The sequence below is a fragment of the Homo sapiens genome, chromosome 18 (assembly GCF_000001405.40).
Source record: "Homo sapiens chromosome 18, GRCh38.p14 Primary Assembly".
Lineage (NCBI taxonomy): Eukaryota > Metazoa > Chordata > Mammalia > Primates > Hominidae > Homo > Homo sapiens.
In genome coordinates, this window is record NC_000018.10 from 580,118 (window position 1) to 606,659 (window position 26,542).

Here is a 26,542-nt window from a genome sequence, read left to right on the forward strand (position 1 = left end):
CTGCCAGCGCCAGTGGATTACAGAAGACAACTGTGGCTACAGGCTGTTCTTGCCAGCTCAGGCGTCAACTCGTGGAAACCGGTTAATGACCCGAGGGGACAGCGGATTCTCGCCTAAGCAAGATCCCGCAGATGGGAGGGCGTAGGAAGAGGTTCCCCGGGCCGGCTCCAGGCCCCAGCGGGCGTGGGCGTTGGCAGTGAGCGAGGGGTGGTCCCGCGCCGCGCCGGCGGGGGGCGCCCGAATGAGAGCGCGGGGCGGTGCCGTTGGGACCACGGCGGCCAGAGCGGCAGGATGGCTTCCGGCTTCAAGAAGCCCAGCGCTGCCTCCACCGGCCAAAAGAGAAAGGTGGCACCTAAGCCCGAGCTCACTGAGGATCAGAAGCAAGAAGTTCGGGAAGCATTTGACCTCTTCGACGTGGACGGAAGTGGGACCATCGACGCGAAGGAGCTGAAGGTGGCCATGAGAGCGCTGGGCTTCGAACCCAGGAAGGAAGAGATGAAGAAAATGATCTCCGAGGTGGACAGGGAAGGCACGGGGAAGATCAGCTTCAATGACTTCCTGGCCGTGATGACGCAGAAGATGTCCGAGAAGGACACCAAAGAAGAAATCCTGAAGGCCTTCAGGCTCTTTGATGACGATGAGACCGGGAAGATCTCGTTCAAAAACCTGAAGCGTGTGGCCAACGAGCTGGGGGAGAACCTCACGGATGAGGAGCTGCAGGAGATGATCGACGAAGCTGATCGGGATGGGGACGGCGAAGTGAACGAGGAGGAGTTCCTTCGGATCATGAAGAAGACCAGCCTTTACTGAAGTCGGTTCAGAAGCTAAAGTGACTCTCTGGGTTGCCTGCTTCCATTTTGTGAAACCTTAGAGGACAGCGGCTGCCTGTCCCTTCTTCACCCCCTCACCCCCATAATTTGTCTAGATCTATTTCCATATCTCTAGTTCAATAATAGAATTTGAAAGATGCTTGTAATGTGAGTTTTGGGTTTTAATTCTCAAGAGTCAACCTGGAGCACATGAGGTTAAACAAAGGGCCCTGAAGTTTGAGTGCGCCCTCCATTTGCCCTGTGCTGAACTTGCTGTTCATCTGTTGATCTGGAGGCAGGACAGCTTCTGGGACACACAAAAATGTGGTTCCCTTTGTCACTTCTTTGGTGGTCTTAAATTATCTTGCTTCATATATCATTCCTTAAATTCCAGTCATTGTTCCAGCATAATGAGATGGAATCTGCCAGTAGATTTGCCTAGCCTGTCCACTTAGCTGAATACCAGTTTGAAGGAAAACAGGGTGGCCACTTACAAACTTACGGAGCTCAGGACAGATAATCTTATAAAGAATAGACTTGCTTGGGTGGTAGTACGTTGTGCAATTTTGACTATTCACTGGCTTTATACCTGCAAATGATTCTTCGTTCATGTGTAAATTGTCCACCATGGGTTTATCTAGGGCTAGTATGTATACCTGGGCTACAGAATAAAAATAAAATCTAATACTGGCCCAAGCAAAGTATAATTTGCTTAAGAGGTTACGCTAACAAACGATTTTGAGTAAATATTTACAAATGTAGGATCTTAGTTTAGGAAATTATAACAAATACCTTAATATAACATTTTAAGCTACTTATAGTCCTTGGAAATAGCAACAAATATCTTAGTTATTGGACTATTATAACCTTAGTCATCTTATTACTGCTTGATTATGAGACACTCTCCCTGCTAATCCTTAGAACATCTTGGTTCTTGGTACTTGACTTTTAGCCCCTCTGACATATAGTTGATGTCAGAGTGTCTGGCATTTCAGTAGTGCTCTATTTTACAAATCCCAGTAAACTGCTCCACTGTGGCTTGTTTATGTGTTAATACTGCTTGTTTTCTGTTATAAATTATTTTTTGCTTTGGAGTAAGATATCATCATTTTGCATAGCTACAAATCTGAAGTTAAAGAAAATTTTAAAAATGTAATTGTGGGAAAATAACAAATAGATCTGCTGAGATGGAGGCTTTGACTAATGTTTTAATAACAGGCAACAAAACAAAGAGGCAGGATATTTTGGTCACAACTAAACCTAAATTAAATCCTCATACAAAGCCCCATTAAGATAAATGCTCAAATTCTGGGAACATTTCACTTGCTTTGCCAGCAATTTTACCCTTCAGAGGGTGTGGATCTAATCAGGGGAACAAACTACCCTGGGCTTAATTCTCATTAACAGGGACTAATTTGTCAAAGCGGCAGTACTAGCTGAAGTGATGGGTATGGAAGCATTCACTGTGAGGATTTTGCTGAGGTGCCTGGCACAGGGTAGGGGAACTCACCCAGGCTGCAAGATGCTAACAGTTCAGGTTCAAGGTCTTAGTGTGGACTAAGGTGCAGTCAGGATGGGAACAGGTGCAACTTGGGCCAACATCAGTATGAAGGGCCTGATCTGAGGGCAGGGGAAGGAGGGGGCATTCTGGGAAGCAAGAGTTCCTGGTATCCTGTTGACCAGAGTCTTGGCCCAAGGATCAACGTATGAATTAAAGTAGAAATACCAGAAACAAAGAAAGTTGGCAGAAACTAGGAGAAGCAGAGTCTCAGCCAACTGGACTGGGCTCAGCCTTGGCTACTGGCCCGGCAGATGATAGAAGAGAAAACCAGGAACCCAGGCTGAAGCCCAGTGGTTGGGCTGGCCACACACCATGCATAGCCTTAAAGGGGTGGCCTAAGGGCATGGTCCGCTCCAAAAAAGGAAAGGGGGCCCCAGAATATTTCTGAATCCCACTCACTGCCAGGGAAGAACCTCTCAATTCACTCAATAGTGCATTCTCCTGCTTCTCAATAGGCTAATACTCTAGAGAATATGGGGACAAGGGGAGGAGGGTCTAGTGGAACAGGTCTAAACTGGCGTTTGAATTTTAAGATAAGTTAATCATACATTGGCTGGGTCAGCCATGTCTCTTAGTCTTTACAAAAGTAGAACACAAAAAAATTCAATGGAAATCTACAGACACCTATTTGCAGATGAGGAAACACGGCTATGAAGATTGGGAAGATTGGGAAGAACTGGCCAGGTGTGGTGGCTCACGCCTGTAATCCCAGCACTTTGGGAGGCCGAGGCTGGTGGATCACTTGAGGTCAGGAGTTGGAGACCAGCCTGGGCAACATAGTAAAACCCTGTCTCTACTCAAATTACAAAAATCAGCAGGGCGTTGTGGTGCCCACCTGTAATCCCAGCTATGCAGGAGGCTGAGGCAGGACAATCACTTGAACCTGGTAGGCGGAGGTTGCAGTGAGCCAAAATCACGCCACTGTACTCCAGCCTGGGTGACAGAGCAAGACTTTGTTTAAAAAAAAAAAAAAAAAGGGAAGAACTAAAAATGTAATTTTCAAGGGGCTATCACAAATGGTCCCAATAAAGAGAAAGCAGGACTCATGTTTAAGAAACCCATGAGATGTGTATGGACCTCATGGAAGAGCTCTTGCTTTCTAATGATCTACGTAACAGATGAAAAGCAGAGCATAGGGCTAAGGATGAAAATACAACAGTAATAAGGTATTAATATATTATTAAGAAAGCTAATGCTCCACATAAGCAGAGGACATTAAAGGGACTTTTTTTTCTTAAGGATATCTTAATGTTTTAAATGAGAAGACATAGAAAGGGATAGGTCCAACTCTTGGGATTGTTGCAGGTTGGTTTCCATCGGAAGCACTCTGAGTCTGAGATTTGTATGCAGAAAATTAATTTGAATGTGCTTTTCAGATCACCCAGGTGGGGGAGGGAGGAAACCAGGACTGGGCAGAGAGAGGCTGGGCTGTAACCAAGTCACAACAAAGGTGTCAGCTGGTCCCATGGTGAATTCTGGACCTAGGATGGCTGATCCCAAGGCATTCCAAACTGGGGCAAGGAAGTTGTGCTTTAAAACTTCTCATTGACTGTCAGTCACTGGGCATGAGCAGTCCCCAGGAAGGGGGGATGACCTTGAGCAAGGTGGATGTCTTCAGCCAAGGGCAATCACTGGGAAGGAGAACCCAGCTATGAACTGTCAGCTGCCAACACTCCCAGCATCTGAGAGGATGAGGGCTTCAATTCTAAGGGCAGGGGCTCCAAGGGCAGGGGTACGGATGGTGGAATCTGGGCAGTACCTTGTGGCTTCCACTACAGTCCACCCCTTGCACCACTTAGTTCCACTGGCTTTTTTTTTTTTTTTCTTTTCTGAGACAGTCTCACTCTGTCACCCAGGCTGGAGTGCGGTGGCACGATCTCGGCTCGCTGCAACCTCCGCCTCCCAGGTTCAAGCAATTCTTGAACCTCCTGAGTAGCTGGGACTACAGATGTGTGCCACCACACCCAGCTAATTTTTTGTATTTTTAGTAGAGACGGGGTTTTACCGTGTTAGCCAGATTGGTCTCGATCTCCTGACCTCATGATCTGCCTGCTTTGGCCTCCCAAAGTGCTGGGATTACAGGTGTGAGCCACCGCACACAGCCAGATCCACTGGCTTCTATATAATTTCTGGGTGAAGCTAATTCAGGATTCTGATGGACCTGTCTTCCCGAGGGAAACTTGTAAAAGGAAAGTTAGAGGGACAAACTATAGCCCCTGCCACAGCAGCTGCTGTCGAGGACAAAAATGGTGCTCCTCATTTCCCTTAACCACCTGACCTAGATTCCCCTAACCCTTAGTGGGCACCTCTGTGGATGGAAGTGGTGGCTCACCTGGTGGGATGATCCAGATCCTCATCCCTGAGTGGTCTGAGCTCCCAGTTACCAGGCCCTTCTCAGGCTGTGGCTGTTGCACTTACCTCCCCAGCCATCCCCCACTTTTTTTTCTTGAGACTGGGTCTTGCTCTGTCACCCAGGCTGAAATGCAGTGGCATAACCTCAGCTCACTGCAGCCTTGATCTCCCAAGCTCAAGCCATCTTCTCACCTCTGCCTCCCAAGTGGCTGGGACTACAGGCACATGCCACCATGCCCAGCTAATATTTTTTATTTTTTATTTTTTTGTAGCAATGGGATTTTGCCATGTTTCCCAGGCTGGGCTTGAACTCCTAAGCTCAAGCTATCCTCCCACCTCTGCTTCCCAAAGTGCTGGGATTACAGGCTTGAGTCACTGCATCTGGCCACATTTATTCCTTTTAAACGTTAAAATTGAATGCAGGATCACTGAGAGACAGGTGAGTGATTACCAGGGTGCCAAACATACCCTTCTCCTCCTTTCCTGCAGCTCTACCTCCTCCTGATGATCAGGACAATCATGTATGATGACTCCTTTCCTTGACTGCTGCTCTCTCAGAAGGAACCCATTGTGTTGGGTGAGAACACATCATTTGAAATTTAGTAAGACTCTTGCTGTGCCTATGGTAGAAGCATTCCCTCTCTGGGGCCAAGATCTTTAAATGCACAGAGTCCAAAGTCGTGGGAACCAAAGCAGAAATTAAAAAGGAGATGACTGGGATTATGGTAAGAACTGTTTCCACCCTTGATTTGCTGCACCCATGTGTTCTACCTAGGAGATAGCACACCATATACTGGTTATTCATTTGGATTACATGCTGCATCCCGGAGAATGGGCACTGCATTCTCACTGGTCATCATGTCAGAGCCTGCGCTGCAGAGGCTTTCCCATTGCTCTGTCAGTGTGTTATAGGGTCAGTGGATTTCATGGTCATGTGCCCACTGCTGCACCTCCATTCTTGTAAAATGGGTCCTCTGGTTCAATGTGATGCCATGTGGGATCTTGTGTCAATAGAATAAATACTCAGATGTTCTGGCTGAAGCTTTACAAGCAGAAAAGGCCAACCGATGACTGAAATAAGCGTTGAGCCCAGTCAAGATGAGTTCCTGCTCTTTCCAGGATAGACGGAGTCTAGTGTAGATCACTTGACATCAAGAGACTGGCTGGTCTCCTTGAGGGATGGTGCTGTTCTGCATTCATCATCCTTGATGAATGAGGGACCCTGCTATTGGGCTCATGTACAGCCCCCATCTCTGCCACAATGAGCGCTCCATTCATGTTCCTATTGTGCCAACACTAGGGTGTCTGTAATCACTGAAAACATTATTGCTATCATTATTATTATTTTTTTTTTTTGAGACAGAGTCTCGCTCTGTCGCCAAGGCTGGAGTGCAGTGGCACGATCTCAGCTCACTGCAACCTCTGCCTCCCGGCTTCAAGTGATTCTCCCGCCTCAGCCTCCAGAGTAGCTGGGATTATAGGCATGCGCCACCACGCCTGGCTAATTTTTGTATTTTTAGTAGAGACAGTCTTTTGCCATATTAGTCTGTCTGGTCTCGAACTCCTGACCTCAGGTGATCTGCCCGCCTTGGCCTTCCGGAGTGCTAGGATTATAGGCGTGAGCCACCACTTGCTATTATTATGTTGAGAAAACTGTTTTCAATTATAAATAAGAAAAAATAAAAGATTATATTTTGCCTTTATTCCTTCTCTAATGCTGTTCTTTAAGTAGATGTGAATTTCTGAACTACATACTTTTTCTTTACTCTTGAGAGGTTGTTTGGAGGTTCCAGCAGGGGACCACAGCTACTCGTATACCCTTGACCAAAGACTGGTCCTTGTCTATCAAGGATGGTCGTCTTCTTCCACCAAGCACACAGCTTCTGGAGGGACGCACATGGAGTGGTGAGGGAGGAAGGGGACACCCGCCTAGCCAGCTAGATCAGCCAAGCAGAATAAACCCTGGTAGTCAATGGGGTGACAGTGTCGCAGCCAGATTGCCCTCACATCCAACTCTTAGTGATCTTCTCTTAACATTTCTTGCAAGGCAGGTCTACTGGTACAAATTCTCTAATTTTTGCTTGTTTGAGAAAGTCTTTGTTTCTTCTTCACCTTTTTTTTTTTTTTTTTGGAGACAGAGTCTCCCTCTGTTGTCCAGGCTGGAGTGCAGTGGCCTGATCTTGGCTCACTGCAAACTCTGCCTCCCAGGTTCAAGTGATCCTCATTCCTCAGCCATCTGAGTAGCTGTGGTTACAGGCGTGTGCCACCATGCCTAGCTAAATTTTGTATTTTTAGTAGAGACGAGGTTTTACCGTGTTGGCCAGGATGGTCTTCAGCCTTCTTAACTTTTAAAGGATAATTTCACGGGGAGAATTCTAGGTTAGTGTATTTTTCTTTCAATACTTTAAATATTTCACTCCACTTTCTTCTTGCTTGTGTGGTTCTGAAGATAATGATATAATTCTTATTCTTGTTTCTCTGCAGGTAAGGTGGTTTCATACCTCTGGCTTCTTTCGAGAATTTCTCTTTGTCTTTGATTTCCTACAGTTTGAATATGATATAATTATGTATAGACTTGGGGCTATTTATCCTTTCTGGTGTAGTCTGAGCTCCCTAAGTCTGTGGTATGGTGTCTTGTAATTGATTTGGGAAAATTCTCAGTCATTATTACTTCAAATATTTCTTCTGTTCCTTTGTGTTTTTTTAACTTGTGCCAACTTTTTAATTGATACATAGTATTTTACATATTTATGGGGTACATGTGATACTTCATTACCTGCATAGAATGTGTAAATGATCTAGTGAAGGTGTTTGGACTATTACCTTGAGTATGTATCGTTTCTATGTGTTGGGAGCTTTTCAAGTCCTCTCTTGTAACAATTTTGAAATATACAATGCCTTGTTGTTAACTAGTCACCCTGCTCTGCTCTCAAACACTAGGATTTATTCCTTCTGTCTAACTGGGTGTTTGTACCCATTAACCAACCTGTCTTCATCCCCTCTACCCACATACCTTTCCCAGCCTTGGGTATCTATCATTCTACTCTTTACCTCCATGAGATCAGCCTTTTTAACTCCCACATATGAGTGAGAACATGTAGTACTTGTTTTGCCGTGTCTGGCTTATTTCACTTAAGATAATGACCTTTTATTCCATCCAGGTCACTGCAAATAACAAGATTTCATTGCTTTTTCTTTTTATGGCCAAATAGTGTTCCATTGTTTATATAGACCACATTTTACTTTATCCATTTGTACATTGATGAACACTGAGGTTGATCCATATCTTGGCTATTGTGAATAGTGCTGCAATAAACATGGGGGTGCAGGTATCCCTTTAATATACCGATTTCTTTTCCTTTGGATAAATACCCAGTAATGGGATTGCCGGATCATGTGGTAGATGTATTTTAAGTTTTTTGAGAAACCTCCATACTCTTCCATCATGGCTGTATTAATTTACATTCCCATCAATAGTATATGAGTTCCCTTTTTTTTCTGCATCCTCACCAGCATCTATTATTTTTGTCTTTATAATAATGGCCTTTCTAACCAGGGTAAGATGATATCTCATTGTGGTTTTGATTTGCATCTCCCTGATGAGTAGTGATGTCAAGCGTTTTTCCATATGCCCATTGGCCATTTGTATGTCTTCTTTTGATGAAGTCTGTTTGTGTCCTTTGCCCACTGTTTATGCTCCTTTTTTTCTTCTCTCTCTGGTATCCCCCTCACACATATATCAGACCTTTTTTAATTGTCCCACAATTCTTGCATTTTCTGTTCTTTTTCATTCTTTCTTCTCTTTGTATTTCAGTTTTGGAAGTTTCTATTGATATTCAAGCTCACTGATTCTTCCTCTGGCTCTGTTCAGTCTATTAATAAGCCCTTCAAAGCCTTTCTCTCTCCTTCTTTCTTTCTCTCTCTCTCTTTCTCTCTTTCTTTCTCTCTTTCGTTCTTTCTTTCTCTATTTCCTTCCTTTCTTTCTTTCTTTCTTTCTCTTTCTTTCTTTCTTTCTTTTTCTTTCCTTCCTTCCTTCCTTCCTTCCTTCCTTTCTTTCTTTCTTTCTTTTTCTTTCTTTTTCCTTCCTTCCTTCCTTCCTTCCTTCCTTCCTTCCTTCCTTTCTTTCTTTCTTTCTTTCTTTCCTTCCTTCTTTCTTTCGACCAGTTCTCACTATGTTGCTCAGGCTAGCCTAGAACCCCTGGGCTCAAGTTATCCTCTCAGCTCAGCCTTTCAAGTAGGTGGGACAAATGCGCCATTCTATCATACCCAACAATTCCTCATTTCTGTTACAGTGGTTTTTATTTCTAGCATTTTCTTTTGATTCTTTCCTAGAGTTTCCATCTCTCTGCTTACATACACATTTGTTCTCTCATATTTTCCACTTTTTCCATTAGGGCCTTCAGCATATTAATTAGTTATTTTCAATTCTAGCCTGATAATTCCAAAATCTCGGTTATATTTGAGTCTGTATCTATGCTTGGTTTGTCTCCTCAGACTGCGTTTTTTCCTTTTAGGATGTCCCTTATCATTTTTTGTTGAAAACAAGACATGATGTATCAGATAAAAGTAATTGAGGTAAACAGGCCTTTAATATGAGGTTTTATGTTTATCTGGCTTGGAGTTAGGCTGTGTTTACTCTTTGCTGTAACTTTGGTGCCAGAGGCTAAAATTTCCTCTGGTGCCCTTGTTTTTGTCTCTCCTGTTATGTTTGTGTTTCCACAGAGTCTCCGTGAATATGGTGTGAGGCTTGAAGTTCTTTAGCTGTAACCCCTCTTATTATACAGGAGCCTTACGGGTGTGGTGGTAATGTGGGAGGGTGGGCTTAAGTATTCAGCAGTCCTGTGATCAGGTCTCAGTCTTTTAATAAGCCTGAGTACTTCCCTTTCCCTTTCTGCATGTTAGAGTGGCCTGGAGTTGGGGGTATCCATTACCCCAGGTTGGTAGGCTTTGGTAAAACCACAGTCTATCAAGCTGTGGTAAAATAGTTTCCCTGCAGTCTGGCTTTGTTAAGGATAACAGAGGGCTCTGGGGGTGTTTCAAAATTGCTACTTTTCCTCTCTCCCTGTCAGAAGCACAAGGAGATTTCTCTTGATCTTCACCCTGAGAGTCTGGTGGGGTTCCTGGAGGTAAAACTCAGGAAAGTGTGAGGGCCTCCACACAAAGCGTCTGCTGAAGTTTGTTCCATAGCCTCAGTTCTCTAATGGATCTAAGAAGAGTTATTGATTTTCAATTTGTCCAACTTAATTCTTGTTTTGAAGACAGAAGTGATGACTTCCAAGCTCTTTATATGTTGAACCCAACCCCATATTATTTTCAATTAGCAATTGCATATAGCAATGGTACATTGCATTTATAGAAATATAATTGATGTTTGCCTGTGTATCTTTTTTCCTATTATGTTGCTGAATTCATTTCTTAGTTCTAGGAATTTTTCAAATACATCCCTTAGGATATTCTGTATACATAATCATGTCATCTGCACATAGGGACAGTTTTATTTCTTTTTCTAGTCTGTATTTCTTATTTCCTTTTCTTGCCTTATTGCAGTGGCTAGAACTTGCAGCACTATATTAAAATAAGAGTGGTAAAAGTGAACATTCTTTCTTTGTTGCTGATCTTGGGGGGAAAGTATTCAGTCTTTCACCATTGAGCATAATGTTAGCTGTAGGTGTTTTAAATCTTTATCCAGTTGACGAAGTTACCCTTTATTCCAATTTTTCTGAGAATTTATATCATAAATGTGTTAAATTTTGTCAAATTTTTTTGCATGTATTGATATGATTATGTGGTTTTTCTTCTTTAGTTACTGCAGTGGGTTGCATTGATTGATTTCTATTATTGAACCAGCCTGCATTCCTGGAATAAACCCCATTTGGTCATGATGTATAATTCTTTTTTTTATATTGCTGAATTCTATTTGCTAATATTTTGTTAAGGATTTTTGCATCTGTGTTCATGAGGGATCTGGGCTGGTAGGTTTTTTTCCCCCCTGCAATGTCTCTGTCTGGTTTTGGTATTAAGGTAATTTTTTTTTTTTTTTTTTTTGAGATGGAGTCTCGCTCTGTCACCCAGGCTGGAGTGCAGTGGCACGATCTTGGCTCACTGCAACCTCCACCTCCCAGGTTTAAGCGATTCTCCTGCCTCAGGCTCCTGAGTAGCTGGGACTACAGGTCACACCACCACGCCCGACTAATTTGGTATTAAGGTAATATTATCATCATAAAATGAACTGGGAAGTGTGCCCTCTTCTTGTATTTCTTTTTTTTTTTTGAGACAGTCTTGCTGTTGCCCAGGCTGGAGTACAATGGTACGATCATGGCTCACTGCAGCCTCAAACTCCCAGGCTCAAGTGATCTTCCTGCCTCAGCCTTCCCAGTACAGGGGCAGGCTACCACATCTGGCCAATTTTTAAATTTTTCTTTTGTAGAGAGGGGTCTCACTATGTTGCCCAGAGGATCTCAAGCAATTCACCTACCTTGGCCCCTCTTCTTGTATTTTATGGAAGAATTATTGGTGTCAATTCTTCTTGAAAGTTTCGTTAGAATTCTTCAGTGAAGCTGTATGGGCTTGAAGATTACTTTTTTTTCTTTTTTTTTTGAGATGGAATTTCACTCTTGTCGCCCAGGCTGTAGTGCAGTGGTGTGACCTCTGCTCACTACAACCTCTGCCTCCCACGTTCAGGTGATTCCCCTGCCTTACTCAGCCTCTGGAGGAGCTGGGATTACAGGCACCCGCCACCATGCCCGGCTAATTTTTTGTATTTTTAGTAGAGACGGGGTTTCACCATGTTGACCAGACTGGTCTCGAACTCCTGACCTCAAGTGATCCACCCGCCTCGGCCTCTCAAAGTGCTGGGATTACAGGCATGAGCCACCGCGCCCAGCTGAAGATTTCTTTTTGGGGAGTTTTAAATTATACAATCAATTTGCTTAATAGGTATAAGCTATTCAAGTTATCTATTTTATACTGGATGAGTTGCAATAGTTTGTGGTTTATGAGTTTATATGGTCCATTTCATCTGAGGTATAAAATTTATTTGTGTAGTATTGTTGGTAGTATTCCCTTGTTATCTTTTTTATGTTCACATGGTATATGGTGACAGTCCTGGTTTAATTCCTAGTATTAGTAACTGGCTCTCTCTCTCTCTCTCTCTCTCTCTCTCTCTCTCTCTCTCTCTCTCTCTCTCTCTCTCTCTCTCTCTGGTCAGTCTTTCCAGAGGTTTGTCAATTTTGTTGACTTTTTTCCCCCAAAGAATCAGCTCTTTGTTTCATGGATTTTCTGCTTTTCTGTTTTCAACTTCATTGATTTCTGCTGTTTATTATTTCTCTCCTTCTGTTGGTTGTGAGTTTGTTTTGCTTTTCTTTTTCTACATATTCGATGTGAAATCTTACATTATTCACTCGGGACTTTTCTTCTTTTTTGATGTATGCATTTAGTATTCTAAATTTACTTCTTAGTACTGCATACTGCTTGAACTATGTCTGACAAATATTAATATATTGTTTTTAAATCTTTATTCAGTTCAGTGTATTTTTAAAATTTCCTTCTCTGCCTCTTCTTTGATTTGTTATTTAGAATTGTGTTGTTATTTTCCGAGTATTTACATTTTCCTCTTATCTTTCTGCATTGATTCCATCGTAGTCAGAGTGCATGCTCTGTACAGTTTCAGTTCTTTCAAATTTATTGAGCTTTGTTTAATGGATCTGGATACAGTTTATCTTGGCATATATATATATATATATACACACATATGTATGTGGGCGCTTGAAAAGAAAGCGTATCTGCTGTTTGGTGGAATGTTTGGAGTGTTCTATAAGCGGTGATTAGATACTGTTGGTTGATGATGTCATTGAGGGTTCCGATAACCCTACTGATTTAAATTTATTTAGTCTGTCAATTATTCAGAGAGAGAGGTGTTGAACTCTGCAATGTGAATTGTGGATTTGTCAATTTCTCCTTTCAGTTCTATTAGTTTTTTCTTCACATATTTTACAACTCTGTTGTTTGGTGCATACACATTTATGCACCAAATTTAGGATTGCTATAACTTCTTGGTGGATTGACCCTTTTACATTATATAATGTCTTTTTCTGTCCCTGGTAATTGTGGTTGCTCTGAAGTCTATGTTATCTCAATATAAATAGACAACTCTGCTTTCTTTTGATTAATGTTTACATGATACATCTTTTTCTATTCTTTTACTTTCAACTTACTTATATTATTATGTTTGAAGTGAGCTTCTTGTAGACAGCATGTAGTAGGTCATATATGTACATAGATATATATATTTTTTTGAGATGGTGTACTCTGTCACCCAGGCTGGAGTACAGTAGTGCTCACTGCAACCTCTGCCTCCTGGGTTCAAGTGATTCTCGTGCCTCAGCCTCCCCAGTAGCTGGGATTACAGGCACGCACCACCATGCCCAGCTAATTTTTGTATTTTTAGTAGAGACGGGGTTTAACCATGATGGACAGGCTGGTCTCGAACTCCCGACCTCAAGCGATTAGCCCACCTTGGCCTCCCAAAGTGCTGGCATTACAGGTGTGAGCCACCGTGCCTGGTTTAATATTTTTAATCCACTCAGTCTTTGTCTTCTACTGGTGTACATAGACATTCGCATGTAATGTAAATGTTGATATGTAAGAGCTTGAATCTGTTATGTTTTTGCTTTCTCTATGTTTTCTCAATTTTTAATTTCTCTGTTTTCTTTTTTTCTGCTTCATATTGGCTAATGAACACTTTGAATCATTCCATTTTGATTTACCTATAGTGTTTTTTAGTGTGTCTCTTTGCATAGCTTTTTTAGGGGTTACTTTAAGTATTTCATTATATGTACATAACTTATCACAGTATATTGGTATCATTATTTTACCAGTTCAAGTAAAGTATGGAAATGTTTCCTCTCTACATTCCTTTACCTCATTTATAATATAATTGTCTTAGGTATTTCTTGTACATACATTTTAAACCGGATGAGTGTTATTTTTGATTTAGCTATCAAATAATTCCAAAAACTCAAGAAAAAAAGGAAAGCTTACTATATTGACCCATATTTTCATTCACCATGTTGTTTCTTCCCTCTTTATGCCCCATAGTTCCTTCTTCTATTGTTTTCGTTTAGAGAACTTCCTAGCCATTCTATTGGGGTAGATCTCCTAGTGACAAATTCTCTTAGCTTTCTTTTCTCTGTGAATGTCTTTATTTCCCTCTTTGTTCCTGGAGGACATTCTCACTGGATATAGGATTCTTGGCTATTGGGTCTTTTCTTTTGGCACTTTTGTAAGTGTGCAGCCTGCTGTCAAAATAAAAATTAAAATAAAATAAAAATGAATGTTTTCCTTTGCTACGTTCATGAAAGTATAATTCACTGAATGAGGAGGGACACCCATCTCTATAATCTGGAGGCCCATGCTCACCTCTGAATAGTACATTTGCAGAGAAATTGGGGAAATCAAAGTCTGTTGAGACCAGCAAGATAAATAAGGCAAAAGGATACAAAACCATATCCAAAGAGAAATGGTTTAAAGGAACTAAGGCTGTTTCTCCTAAAAAGAAAATAGTTGGAGACATGTGACCTCCAAAGAAACAGGACTTTTTCTATGGGGCTCCAAGGGGTTTCTATGAGAGAATGATAAAGGAGAGATTTCAGCTTAGTCTCAGGAAGACTTTTCAACAACCAAACCTGCCCAAAGATGGACTGCCCTGCCTAAGGATTGTGTTCTGACATTAAGGGTATGGAGGTATGGGTTAGATGAATATTTTACCAAAATGCCATAGATATTTCAGGCTATTGATGTTGTAATATCATACTAGGCAACTCCACTTCAATATGAGTCTCTATGATGTAAAATGAAATAGGATGTGTTTCGATAGAGAGTTGCAGATTTCATTTTGATGTTAGCGACCACACAAAATTACTTTCCCTACATAAGAACATGTTATTACTCTAGTTGATGATGACTGCTTATGGGAAATGTGTCTGCTTTGTTAGGAATCTTGCCTAATATATGTATAATTCAAGATGGTATTATAAAGTGACATATATGATTTTAACATTTGCACTTAAAATAACACTTATTCTGTACCATGCACTGTCTAGGAGCTTCTACATATTCCATTATTATCTTTATTTTACAAGACAGGGAACTAAGGCATGGAGAGATTGAGTAATTTGTGCAATATTACCTACCTAGTAAGTGGTAAAGGAAAGATTGGAACCCATTCTGGCTCCAGGATCCAGGCTCAAAGCCAATATACTATCCACCACCCCAACTCTTTAGTTTGATCAATTTGTCAAATTATTTTACAGTTATTTATCTGTAAATTAAGGGGATAATTGCCCAGTCAATAAATGTGTCCCCTTCAAAGGTTACATACTTAACCAATGGTGCTACTGGGCTCAGAACATTTTTGGAACTACGATTTTGGTGGCAACCAAAAAACCTCCAGTACATTCCTCTGAACATTCTCCAGAGGCAAGTCTTTCTCCATGGAGACTGGGCTTCATTTTTTGAATTAGCCTGAAGTTGTTTGAGGTCAAATCTGATGAAAAGAGCGGCTGGGGAAGCTGGATATTTTCGTTCGTGATTTAAAACAGTAAATGCCACCTAAATGAGAAGGCTACTTTCTTTGAATGTTTTGTAAACTGGCTTTGAAGGTACTTCTTTAAAAAAGAAGCACAAGAAAGACGGTGACTGGCAACAGCCTCACTGGAATACGTCTCTAATCATCAAGGCAACCCACACTCATTTGGATGTGTGCATCTGGTGATGTTATTATTTTTAAAGTTATGTGCCACAAAGATGCATTCTTTGCTATACAAAAGAGCTGTTGTTAAATTTATAAAGATATAAAAAGGGGAAAGGGGAAGGCACCAAATGGAAGATTCTTAGGCATTAAGTGCTCAGACAGCATAGATCTTCATTAGATGACGTCAGGGAGAAGAGACACAGACTTTGCCATCTCAGGTAGAAGTATCAAAGTCATCAGCCTCCTAGTAAGACAGACCTGGGTTTGAAGCTCTGCACAGCCATTTCCTAGCTGGTCTGGGGAAAAATTACTTCTTGAAGCCTCAGTGTCTTTATTTGTAAAGTAAGTGGAATTATATTACCTTGTCAGGATGTTGTCAGAATTAGAAATAATTTAAAGAGGTCCAGCACGAGCAGGTCAATCAAGGGAAGATGTTAAAAATAACAACAGGTGAAATGTACTCCCAAAAGATAAAGTGGATACATAGATGAATCTTCCTCACACACAGAGTATAATAACCTCAGAAAAATATTGCCTAGAGTAAACATGCCTCCCAAGCCAACGTTCATCATCCAGGAATACGGAGAGGATGTTTGGGATATGGGGGGCATGAAATTTTACAATTGTAGGGCCCTTTAACAAGGGTAGACTTGCAAGTTGCACTGCCTTTCCTGCCCTCTCTGGCTACCTGTTCCAGCATCCAGAGTTTGTGAACCTGGGGCCCAAGGACAGCACCTGGCATGGGCAGGCCCACTTGGCGACTCTCTCAGGGCTGCTGCAGCTGTGTCAGTGTCCCCACAGGGAGGCTGACATCCAGCCATGACCATCGCATTAAGCCCAGCAGTCGGGCAGGGGAGCAACTGCTCAGAGGCACCTTTGACCCACTACTTTTTTCCCCTCCTGCTTTATCTGCCCAGAGCGAGGCTCTCTTTCTAATGTGTACAAGGCGTTCTACCTATGACTCGTGGTCCTGCCATAGAAATGCTTTTTTTTTTTTAACTGAATTAAGTTGCCAAGTTTGAAAAATCAGGAATTTCACATAAGCATCCCTATTTCTGTCTTCTTTTGAAAAACTGAATGTTCTTTCCACAGTGAGCCCACATTCCTTCCTGACGACCATCACCGTTCAGCTGGAGTAGAGAGGGCTCTGCTCGCTTCAGATCCGGACGCGCAGGTCCTCTGCAGGCCCCGCCCACCCGGCGTCACCTGCAGGTCCCGCCCACCCGGCGTCTGCAGGCCCCGCCCACCCGGCGTCACCTGCAGGCCCCGCCCACCCGGCGTCTGCAGGCCCCGCCCACCCGGCGTCACCTGCAGGCCCCGCCCACCCGGCGTCTGCAGGCCCCGCCCACCCGGCGTCACCTGCAGGCCCCGCCCACCCGGCGTCTGCAGGCCCCGCCCACCCTGCGTCACCTGCAGGCCCGGGCCGCGGGGTTGGTTTCCACCCTGGAGGTTGCTGACACCCTGTGCCCTCGGCTGACTTCCAGCCGGTGGCACAGACGCCTCCAGGGGGCAGCACTCAAGCGCATCTTAGGAATGACAGGTGAGAACATCCTCCGGGCCCCAGATTTCTCTCCTCGCCGCTCTTGCCCATTTCTCCGGAGAGCCAGAGAAAGCCGCTCCCAAGTCCAAGGCCGAGCTCCGCAGACGCCCGGCCCCTCCGGCGCGGACAGAACAAAGCCACTGTTCTTGCCGGGGAAGGTAGAAATACTGTGGGCTGCTTCAGAGGCTGCCAGCAAAACTCAGGCAATCTCCTGGGCTGTTCCAATACGTTTATTCTCTTTTTCAAAACAGGAGGAGGAGGTAGAGGCGGGGAGACACACCATCCCTGCAAAACTACTGGCAAAAACTAAGCGGAGCCGGGTGTGGTGGCTCACGCCTGTAATCTCAACACTTTGGGAGGCCGAGGGGGGCCGATCACTTGAGGTCAGGAGTTGGAGGCCAGCCTGGCCGGCATGGTGAAACACAAAAATTAGTCGATTGTGGTGGTGCATGCTTGTAATCCCATCTACTTGGGAGGCTGAGGCAGGAGAATCGCTTGAACCCGGGAGGCGGAGGTTGCAGTGAGCCGAGATTGCGCCACTGCACTCCAGCCTGGACAACACAGTGAGATTCTGTCTCAAAATAAATAAATAAATAAACCCAAGCAGAAAAAGAATCACTCTGAAAACGATCACATCTAACTATCAATGCTCATACAGTTTATGGAATTATCAGCCCAACTTGATAAAATCAGTATTTGAGGAAACTGTGGATAAGCCCCCTGATTTCAATCCCCATTGTGCCAGGTCCTGGTTAACTGAGGTTAACGAAGTAAAGAGCTGCAGACACTATTAACTGCTACCTTAAACCGATTACTCTAGCTTAGCCTACTTTCCACGTACAGATTTTACCAGTGGACAACATGATGCTTTATCTTGTTTTTCTCTCCCTGGGACTTTTCTCCAGACATTGAAAACAGAAATACTAATAAGGCCACTTTTACCTGCCTGATGCAAGAACAGAATTTTCAAACTCAACATTAATGCAACTCCTCAGTCCCTGACAATGGCGGGTGGAAAAGTTTCTAAAAATATGCAGCAGCACAATTATCGGGAAGAGATGAGATACTGTTACCTAATAAAAATGCCATAAATAGAGAATGATGAACTACCATGGGAAATGAATGCATAGAAGAGGACATGCTGGAATGTGGGACAGTAAAAATCACTTAAACTTTGCGTGACCTTGAAGAAAGTCACGATGATCTGTTTTTCCAGGTCCCTCAAACAGTGAGATGTGGCTGTTTCCCAAGTCTTCCTCTCCAGTGTAAAGGGTCTGAATTTAGACGCTTTGTGAGTCTTCCTTCTTTCGACAGCCTGGAGTCTCTCTTGAGTCTCAAGGCTGCCTGAGTTCCTCTCTAACATCCTCTAGGCAGTATCAGCTAATGAGACAATGAATTCCATGGAGGCAGCAGTGGGAACAGAAGTACCTCTCTTGGATAATTTACAACACTGGTGAGCAGAGGGTCAGATCACCCTGGGGTTTGTGTCACAACCAAAAAAGTGGCTGTGGCACTGAGTTCTTGGATGGTTTTCTACAGCTGGTCCAGATTTTCCATGGGCTCACCTTTAAATTAAAAGAATTTCTGCACTTTGAAGAATTTGAAAACAAAGCCATGTGTGAGAATATGAGATCCACTCATATGCCCTTGCAAGAAATAGGTTGCATTCCTTTTTCCGGACTTAAAAAAAAAGCACCCCCTCTTTCTTTTTTTCAGAAGGCATATATGTAAATGATTCCAAATTAATCTTTAGCATGTGCCTATGTTGTTCTGATTTACTAAACTTTAAAAATATGTCCATTGTTGTCTGTTAACAGCTTTTGGCAACTTTTTCAGAGATTGAAATATGTGAGCAAATTAGAGAAATGAGTACAATTATTAGCTAGTACCATTCAACAAGCGCTAAAGATACAAATACCTCTACAATACATAAAAGGAATGATTATAGTAGATTTTATAATGCCATATAAGGTTTCTTATTTAACTTCATTCTTAATTCTCAAAATAAAATGAAATTACATAGAAGCAAAGTAATATAGTTACCAGAATAGTATTTTTACATGTCTTTAAGTGTATGTTGTTGTTGTTGTTTTTAAGGTAATTATGTGATGTTGTGGAAAGAACAGAGACCTGGGTTAGATAAAATTCCGGTTGTCTACCAGATTGTGATAGTGAGCAAATTACTTAACCTCTATGATCCTTATCTTATTTATCTATGAAACAGGATTGGTAATACTCATATCATAAGGTTGAAAGGATTAAATGAGGCACTATGGAAAATTTCTAACATGGTGGTGCCTGGGACAGTAGAAGATGCTTAATAAAGATAGCTTTCATTATTATTATTAGCTTTTTCAGGTGATGGTGATTGTAAATGTTTAGGTAATTTTTTAAACTTTAGAAATAATTGATTTTCAAATGATTAAGACTGCTTATTTTAATCATTTATTTTTATCACCAGATTTATTTTTATTACCCAAAATGTCAACGACTGTCATAAAGATAAAAATTAATAATAATTGGCCAGGTGCGGTGGTTCACGCCTGTAATCCCAGCACTTTGGGAAGCTGAGGTGGGTAGATCACAAGGTCAGGAGATTGAGACCATCCTGGCTAACGCGGTGAAACCCCATCTCTACTAAAAATACAAAAAATTAGCTGGGTGTGTTGGCGGGCGCCTGTAGTCCCAGCTACTCATAGTCCCAGCTACTCAGGAGGCTGAGGCAGGAGAATGGTGTGAACCCGGGAGGCGGAGCTTGCAGTGAGCCGAGATCGCGCCACTGCACTCCAGTCTGGGCTACAGAGCCAGACTTCATCTCAAAAAAAAAAAAAAATTAATAATAATTTAAACCCGAAGTATGAACTGAATTATTTCCCTTAGTAGCACATCACATAGGCTGATGATAGTTTTGGTGACTGGTTTATCTATTCTTCCTAAAAGCAAACTGTTGTTAGATGGATGATCACTTGCATGTTGTGACTGAACTCAGCAGTTGGGTTTTATTTTTTATTTTTTATTTGCTTCAGTAGCATTAGCCTTTCCTACCAAGATTCGAACAATCCATTTGCCTTTTTTTCCCTAAAATCTCTCATACATTGTAAATACTACATATTGGCTAAATATTTCCTGGACAGACATGAAGGACACATAAATCAGTCTCTGTATGATGTTTCTCACTGTAATGGAGTTTATCTGGCTCAAGACCAGGACATTTATTGCATATCAGGTTTCTACAGTTCAGGCAAAAGTTTGAGGATAAGGACTTACTGCAAAAAGTCTTCTATTGTTCTCAACCATTTTCTCGCTTAGCACATGCAGAGATTTGAAATGGTCCGTGGTACAGTAGTTGTGTCTGTATATTTCTCTTGTAGAATATTAGAACAAGGGATTTGCAGTTTACAGAGAAGAAGGCTTGGCGAGGTGTTTGGAAATACACTCAGAAACCTGAGGAAATTTGTGGAAAGAGAGGCTTATTATTTCTAGAAATATGCTAGAGTACGTTTTGATTGTGCACCTGAGGAATTAATAGATTAAGTAGTTTTATAAGGACTGGGGTTAATAGAATACTGGCAGTGAAGTTTGTCTTAGGACTTCTTAATTGGATAATCAGTGAAGTCACCAGATCCCAGTTAGAGACAGTTCCAAGTTTTACAAAACGCAAGATAACTGTCCAAGAGCTGTAATGGCTTAATCATCTTTGAATAATACCTCTCACTGAAGCTATATCATAAGAAATAAAAATCTACATTTTAAAAAATTGGCTGTAATCATAGGGTGACTAACTGTCCCTGTTTACCCAGGACTCAGGGTTTCCCAGGCTGAGGGACAATGGGTACTAAAACCAGGACAGTCCCAGGCAAACTGGGACGGTTGATCACCCTACCCAATGGCCTCATCTGTCTCATTAAAATATCTGGATTACTTCGTGCCTCAAAAATATCCTCGGCTTACCTGACTCTAGACAGTCAAGAAGCTTTTATTAATTGTCTAATGTATGCCACTTTCTGGAGGTGATATTGTTCAACTGATAGATGAGCATCACTGATTGAAATATTTTGTGGTTTTCATGCTTTGTATCTTGTGCTGATAGCCCCACATGGATATTTCTGTTTCCAAGTTTGTGTCACTTCTGGAGATATTAGCCTGAACTCAGCAAAATAGGATGATCAAAATGAACCTTTCCAGTGAATTCTGTCCTTCTTGTGCTGTTGTCATCTGACTTAGATATACTGGCCGGGCGCGGTGGCTCACACCTGTAATCCCAGTACTTTGGGAGGCTGAGGTGGTTGGATCCCTTGGGATCAGGAGTTTGAGACCAGCCTGGCCAATATGGTGAATGAAGCCCTGTCTCTACTAAAAATACAAAAATTAGTTGTGCGTGGTGAAGTGTGCCTGTAATCCCAGGTACTCAGGAGGTTGAGGCAGGAGAACTGCTTGAACCAGGGAGTCGGAGGTTGCAGTGAGCCCAGATCACACCACTGCACTCCAGCCTGGCAACAGAGTGAGACTCCATCTCAAAAAAAAAAAAAATTAGCTGGATGTGGTGGCACATGCCTGTAATCCCAGCTACCTGGAAGGCTGAGGCAGGAGAATCGCTTGAACCCAGGAGACGGAGGTTGCAGTGGGACGAGATCGTGCCACTGCACTCCAGCCTGGGTGTCACAGCGAGACTCCATCTCAAAAAATAAAAATAATAAAAAATAAATAAATACATAAATAAATGAACACATAAATTAGATATACCAAGAAAAGTATAAAAAAGTCTTGTGTGAACATAAATGAAAATTGGCCAAAATAGGTAACAGACAGGGTCAGGCGTGGTGGCTCATGCCTGGAATCCCAGTACTTTGGGAGGCTGAGGTGGGAGGACCACTTGAGGCCAGGAGCTCAAGACCAGCTTGGGCAACAAAGCGAGACCTCATCTCTATGAAAGAAAAAAAAATTTAAAAGAGGTAATGAACAACTTGCTTGCCTTCCTGCCTGCCTTCCCTAAAATACTAAGTTAAATGCAATACATGCCCTGACATTGTAGTTTGCTTTCACAAAGATTTACTGAATACTTACTCTAGGCTAAACCTTGTGCTACATGTGGGGCTACAGGGATGAAAGAGAATTGGTCTTGCCCTCAGGAACCTTTCATTTAGTACAGAGATTTAGTGTGTGCTGGTTGGTCTCTGTTCTCCCCCTCTCCTCCAGATCTATTCTCTATTTCTTCCCCTCTCCCTGCCTCCAGGAAGGGGGGCTGGATCACTGTGGCTCATTGCTCTGTGGCTTCTGATTGAGTTCAGCCAATGGGAGGCATCATTTTGGCGTGGCAGCTCTGGCTGTTCCTCTGCAATTGCAGTTCCCTCCTCCAAGGCTCTGGCTCTCACTGGGTTCCTGTATCCAATAACAGACTCCCTTAACTGCCCACTTCTGAAAACAGTTTCTGCATAAAGCTATTTTCATAATTTCCTCTGATGTGCCTTCTGTTTCCTGTGTAGACCCTGATTCAATAGGAAAATAAATTATTGAAATAGAGGAAGAGACAGGTAATAATAGAGGTATACACAAGTAGAATGGGGCAATAAATGGCGCATTTTCGCACCATCAAGAGTGCCCATGTAACAGAGATAAGTAAATGCATCTTGAGCTGAACACTGAAGGATAAGAAACAAAGGGGAGAAAGACCTAGAAGGGGCAATATACAGCAAGGAGGGAAAATAAACTACTGTGCATTCATGCCAGTGTTAGCATTTAGGACATCTGGAAGCTAGAGGTGGAGTGGAAAAGGAGAGAGTGATAGGAGCTGGGGTCAGAGAGTTTCAGGGTGGGGAAGGTCTTGCAGGACCTTGTAGGTAATTGTAAAGCATTTGGATTTTATTCTGAGGGTCACTGGGGTGTCATTAGAGACTTTTGAGCAAAGAGGTACATGCTCTGACTGAACTTTATTCTGTGAACAATCAGAATCAACTAGATGGATTTAAGTATGGGTATACCATGAAAGAAAATTACTTAAGATCCTTGCTACTCAAAGTATGAGCCAGGACCAGCTACACTGGCATCAGCTGGGAACTTGTTAGAAATGCAGAATCCCAAGTCCCCGAGACAAACTGAATCAGAACCTGCACTTTAACAAGATCCCAGGTGGCCCATTTGTATGGTAGAGTTTAAGAAGCATTGGTTTAAAAGATCCCTCTGATAGGAGCATGGAAGATACATTTGAGACAGAATAGACAAGTCAGAGACAGGTGGGAAGGGCCTAAAACAGGGCAGAAGTAGGGAGGTAAATGAGGAGACAAATACAAAGGAAGAAAATGCACAGCACAGTGTAGACAATTCCTAAATACTTAAAAAAATTTTTTTTGAAATAATGATAGATTCACAGGAGGTTGCAAAGAAATGCGTAGGGAAGAACAATGCACCCTTTACCCAGCCTCCTCCATCATTAACATCTTATGCAACTATATTATAATATCGAAAACAATCAAGTGACATTGCTACAACCCATAGAGCTTATTCAGATTTCACCAGTTATTAGATGCACTCGTGTGTGTGTATGCATATAGCTCTGTGTAATTTTATCATATGTGAAGCTTTGCTACCACAATCAAGATATTCAAGCCATTAGCAGAAGATTTTCTGGTGTTACCTCCTTATAGCCACACGCATTCCTCCATCATTAACCCCTGGGAACAACTAATCTGTTCATCTCTATAATTATTCTATTTCACGAACATTTTGTAGATGGGTACATGCAGTGTGTATCTTTTGGGATTGGTAACAGAGCAAGACAGGATCTCACTCTGTCACCCAGGCTGGAGTGCAGTGTCGTGATCTTGGCTCATTGCAGCCTCCACCTCCTGGGCTCAGGTGATCCTTCCACCCCAGCCTCCTGAGTAGCTGGGACTACAGACACACGCCACCTCACCTGGCTAATTTTTTGTATTTTTATAATGATGGGGTTTCACCATTTTGCCTAGGCTAGTCTAGAACTCCTGGGCTCAAGTGATCCAACCGCCTTGGCCTCCCAAAATGCTGGGAGTACAGGCATGAGCCACCACCTCCACCAGCTTTTTCATTCATACTTTCTTTGAAGTTCATCCAAGTTGTGTGTATCAATACTTCACTCCTTCCAGTTGCTGAGTAGTATTCCATGGCTTGGAGGTGCTAGAGTTTATTCATCACATTCAACCCATTGAAGGACATTTGGGTGGCTTCCAAGTTTCCAGTTTTGGGCTATTATGAACAAAGTTACTATGAAGATTCATATACAATGGATACTTTTTGTATGAATGAATGGAATAGAATGGATAGGATTTAGTGATCAGCTATGTGGGATGAAGAGTGGCATAAGTAGTAAAAAGTAACCCTCAATGCAATGTGCAGCCAGCAAGTACCACAAAAAGAGTTTATTTTGTTTCATACATATATTTCTATATATACATACACACACTTTATTAATAACCAAATAGTATCCTTTTCAAATGAAAACAGTAATTTAACATAAACTATGAACTTAAAATCTAAAGTAAAACTTGACAACAGTGATGCAGAATTTTTTGCTCCTTAGCTCAGTTAGGTCTGTGTTCTTATCTTATGACCAGGAAGAACTAGGTACCCTGACATCAAAGAATGAGTGGCATAGAATTTATTAAGCAAAAAGGAAAGCTCTCAGGAAAGAGTGGGGTCCTGAAAGCAGGTTGCTGGTTGCCCCTTCGTAGTTGAATACAAGGGCTTCTATATAAAACCTGATGGGGCCGAGTTCCCTGTTCGTATAAGGCATGAATTCCTGGTGGCTCCACCGCCCTCCCCCAGTGCGTATGTGGGACCTTCGTCCACTAGGGACATGTTTAGACAAGCTCCCTGTGCACGTTCCCTTATCTGCACAAAACATGGGTTGGAGGTTCTCCGGGGACCCTTCCTTTACTTTCTGCCTAAAGCAAGCTGGCTAACTCCTTTCAACAATACTAAAGACATACAGACAATGGTTCTCAGTACAATCATTTTAAATATTTAAGTAAACTTAAAATGGTGTTTGTTTTGATTTGACATTTTAAAAGATATCGCTGTTCTAAAAATTCTGTGTTTTTAGTTGTTTGGGCTCCTATTCTACAATGTGCTATTACTATTAAGCATTCTTGTATCATGGCATTCCTCAAATAGTTTTTAAATTACTTTTAATTTGAAGAAGGAACATTCTGTACAGTCACGGAAAGTGTCAAAAATGAAAATGAGGCAGGGTGTGGTGGCTCACGCCTGTAATCTCCGCACTTTGGGAGGCCTAGGTGGGTGGATTGCTTGAGCCTAAGAATTTGAGACCAGCCTGGGCAATATGGTATAACCCTGTGTGTACAAAAAATACAAAAATTAGCCAGGTGTGGTGGCCCAAGCCTGTAGTCCCAGCTACTTGGGAAGTTAGGGTGGGAAATCCTAGGTGACAGAATGAGACCTTGTCTCAAAAAAAAAAAGAAAAAAGAAAATGATAAAGGATACATATCAGGAAAACATGCATGGTATTTTGTATCATCTACTTTAGAGTAATTCCAGTATAGTGGTTTTTTTGTTGTTGTTTGTTTTATTTTTGAGAAAGGGTCTTGCGCTGTCACCCAGGCTGGAGTGCAGTGGTACGATCTTGGCTCACTGCAACCTCCGCCTACCAGGTTCAAGCCATCCTCCCAACTCAGCCTCCAGAGTAGCTGGGACTACAGGTGTGCGCCACCATGTCCAGATAATTTTGTATTTTTTGTAGAGATGGGATTTTGCCATGTTGCCTGAATGCCTGGCCTCAAGCAATCCACCCTCCTCAGCCTCCCAAAGTGCTGGGATTGCAGGCGTGAGCCACCACACCCAGCCCCAGTGTAGTCGTTTTTTCTTTTCTTTTTTATTCTATGTTTTAATGAATTTACACGTTACCCAAATGTTCCCTAGTTTTTCTGCCTTCCAAGATCACTCTGGAAGAATATTTAAGAATATACCAAATAAGAATATGCAAGTCCTCCCCTAAGGGTGGCAGGAAGAACACCCCTCCCCCAGATGGTATTTAGCGCCTCTGGCTGGGAACGGCTTCCCCATGCTCCTAGGTCAGGGTCCTCTCTTGGCATGACACTACCACCACAGTGCAGACCCACAACAGGGAGAAGGACGGCCACAGTCCCTCAATCCCCCTTTTCCAAGATGTGCACAGCCTGACTCCTAACTCCCCACCACTGACTCTAGGGGAAAAACAGCACAGGGCAGGAAACGATTTTCCATGTCACCAACCTTTCTCTGAGGGAACCTACTGGCCACCTCCCTCTTAGGACCAGCCCATCGTCCACAACGTGGAAGTCCAGCTTCCGTTCAAATCGGAGTTCTTTCTTCATGACATTTCTTTGCAAAGTCCCGGAACCCACAGCTCTGAGACTCTGGCTGTCCCCCAACCCACCCCATCTTCCTTGTCCTCACCCCTGGTCAGGAGAAGCCAAAACATCAGTCAGCTTCCCAGTAATCAAGCCTGGCTTTCTCACCCAGGGCTCGCCCCAGAACAACCACCGGCTTCTTTCAGTGTA

General features: G+C 42.6%; 2 protein-coding genes and 1 pseudogene across 10 annotated transcripts in view, besides 4 other annotated features; 2 read left to right on the top strand and 1 right to left on the bottom strand.

Moving 5' to 3' along the window:
* The first annotated feature begins 262 nt into the window (after positions 1-262).
* On the top strand, positions 263-1,997 carry CETN1 (centrin 1). The gene has a single exon (NM_004066.3). The coding sequence runs from the start codon at positions 292-294 to the stop codon at positions 808-810; it is 519 nt and encodes a 172-aa protein (NP_004057.1). The 5' UTR covers positions 263-291; the 3' UTR covers positions 811-1,997.
* Positions 6,490-6,733, bottom strand: RN7SKP146 (RN7SK pseudogene 146; annotated as a pseudogene).
* Positions 16,620-16,749: a silencer, noted in NCBI's record as "fragment chr18:596737-596866 (GRCh37/hg19 assembly coordinates)". NCBI's record gives its function as "represses an EF-1alpha promoter that drives an FKBP-Casp9 reporter gene in an ReSE screen in K562 erythroleukemia cells {active_cell/tissue: K562}" and the evidence as "EXISTENCE:reporter gene assay evidence [ECO:0000049][PMID:32094911]".
* Positions 16,810-16,929: a silencer, noted in NCBI's record as "silent region_9239". NCBI's record gives its function as "represses an Ori minimal core promoter by ATAC-STARR-seq in GM12878 lymphoblastoid cells {active_cell/tissue: GM12878}" and the evidence as "EXISTENCE:reporter gene assay evidence [ECO:0000049][PMID:35858748]".
* CLUL1 (clusterin like 1) overlaps positions 16,871-26,542 on the top strand; it is a 53,195-nt gene continuing 43,523 nt past the window's right edge. For 6 of the 9 annotated variants that reach the window (NM_001393347.1, NM_001393348.1, NM_001375492.2 and 3 more), the window contains exon 1: positions 16,871-17,012. The gene's annotated coding sequence lies outside the window, so the exon portion shown is untranslated. Of the gene's footprint in view, positions 17,013-18,228; positions 18,466-26,542 lie in introns of those variants that run through there. The other 3 variants (NM_001393346.1, NM_001393345.1, XM_011525651.3) reach the window with 3 other exon arrangements.
* Positions 17,352-17,851: an enhancer, noted in NCBI's record as "H3K4me1 hESC enhancer chr18:597469-597968 (GRCh37/hg19 assembly coordinates)". NCBI's record gives its function as "activates a minimal SCP1, AML or CMV promoter by ChIP-STARR-seq in primed H9 embryonic stem cells {active_cell/tissue: H9 hESC(primed)}" and the evidence as "EXISTENCE:reporter gene assay evidence [ECO:0000049][PMID:30033119]".
* Positions 24,692-24,986: an enhancer, noted in NCBI's record as "tiled region #12053; HepG2 Activating non-DNase unmatched - State 13:Ctcf, and K562 Activating DNase matched - State 5:Enh". NCBI's record gives its function as "activates a minimal TATA promoter and a strong SV40 promoter by Sharpr-MPRA in HepG2 and K562 cells {active_cell/tissue: HepG2 | K562}" and the evidence as "EXISTENCE:reporter gene assay evidence [ECO:0000049][PMID:27701403]".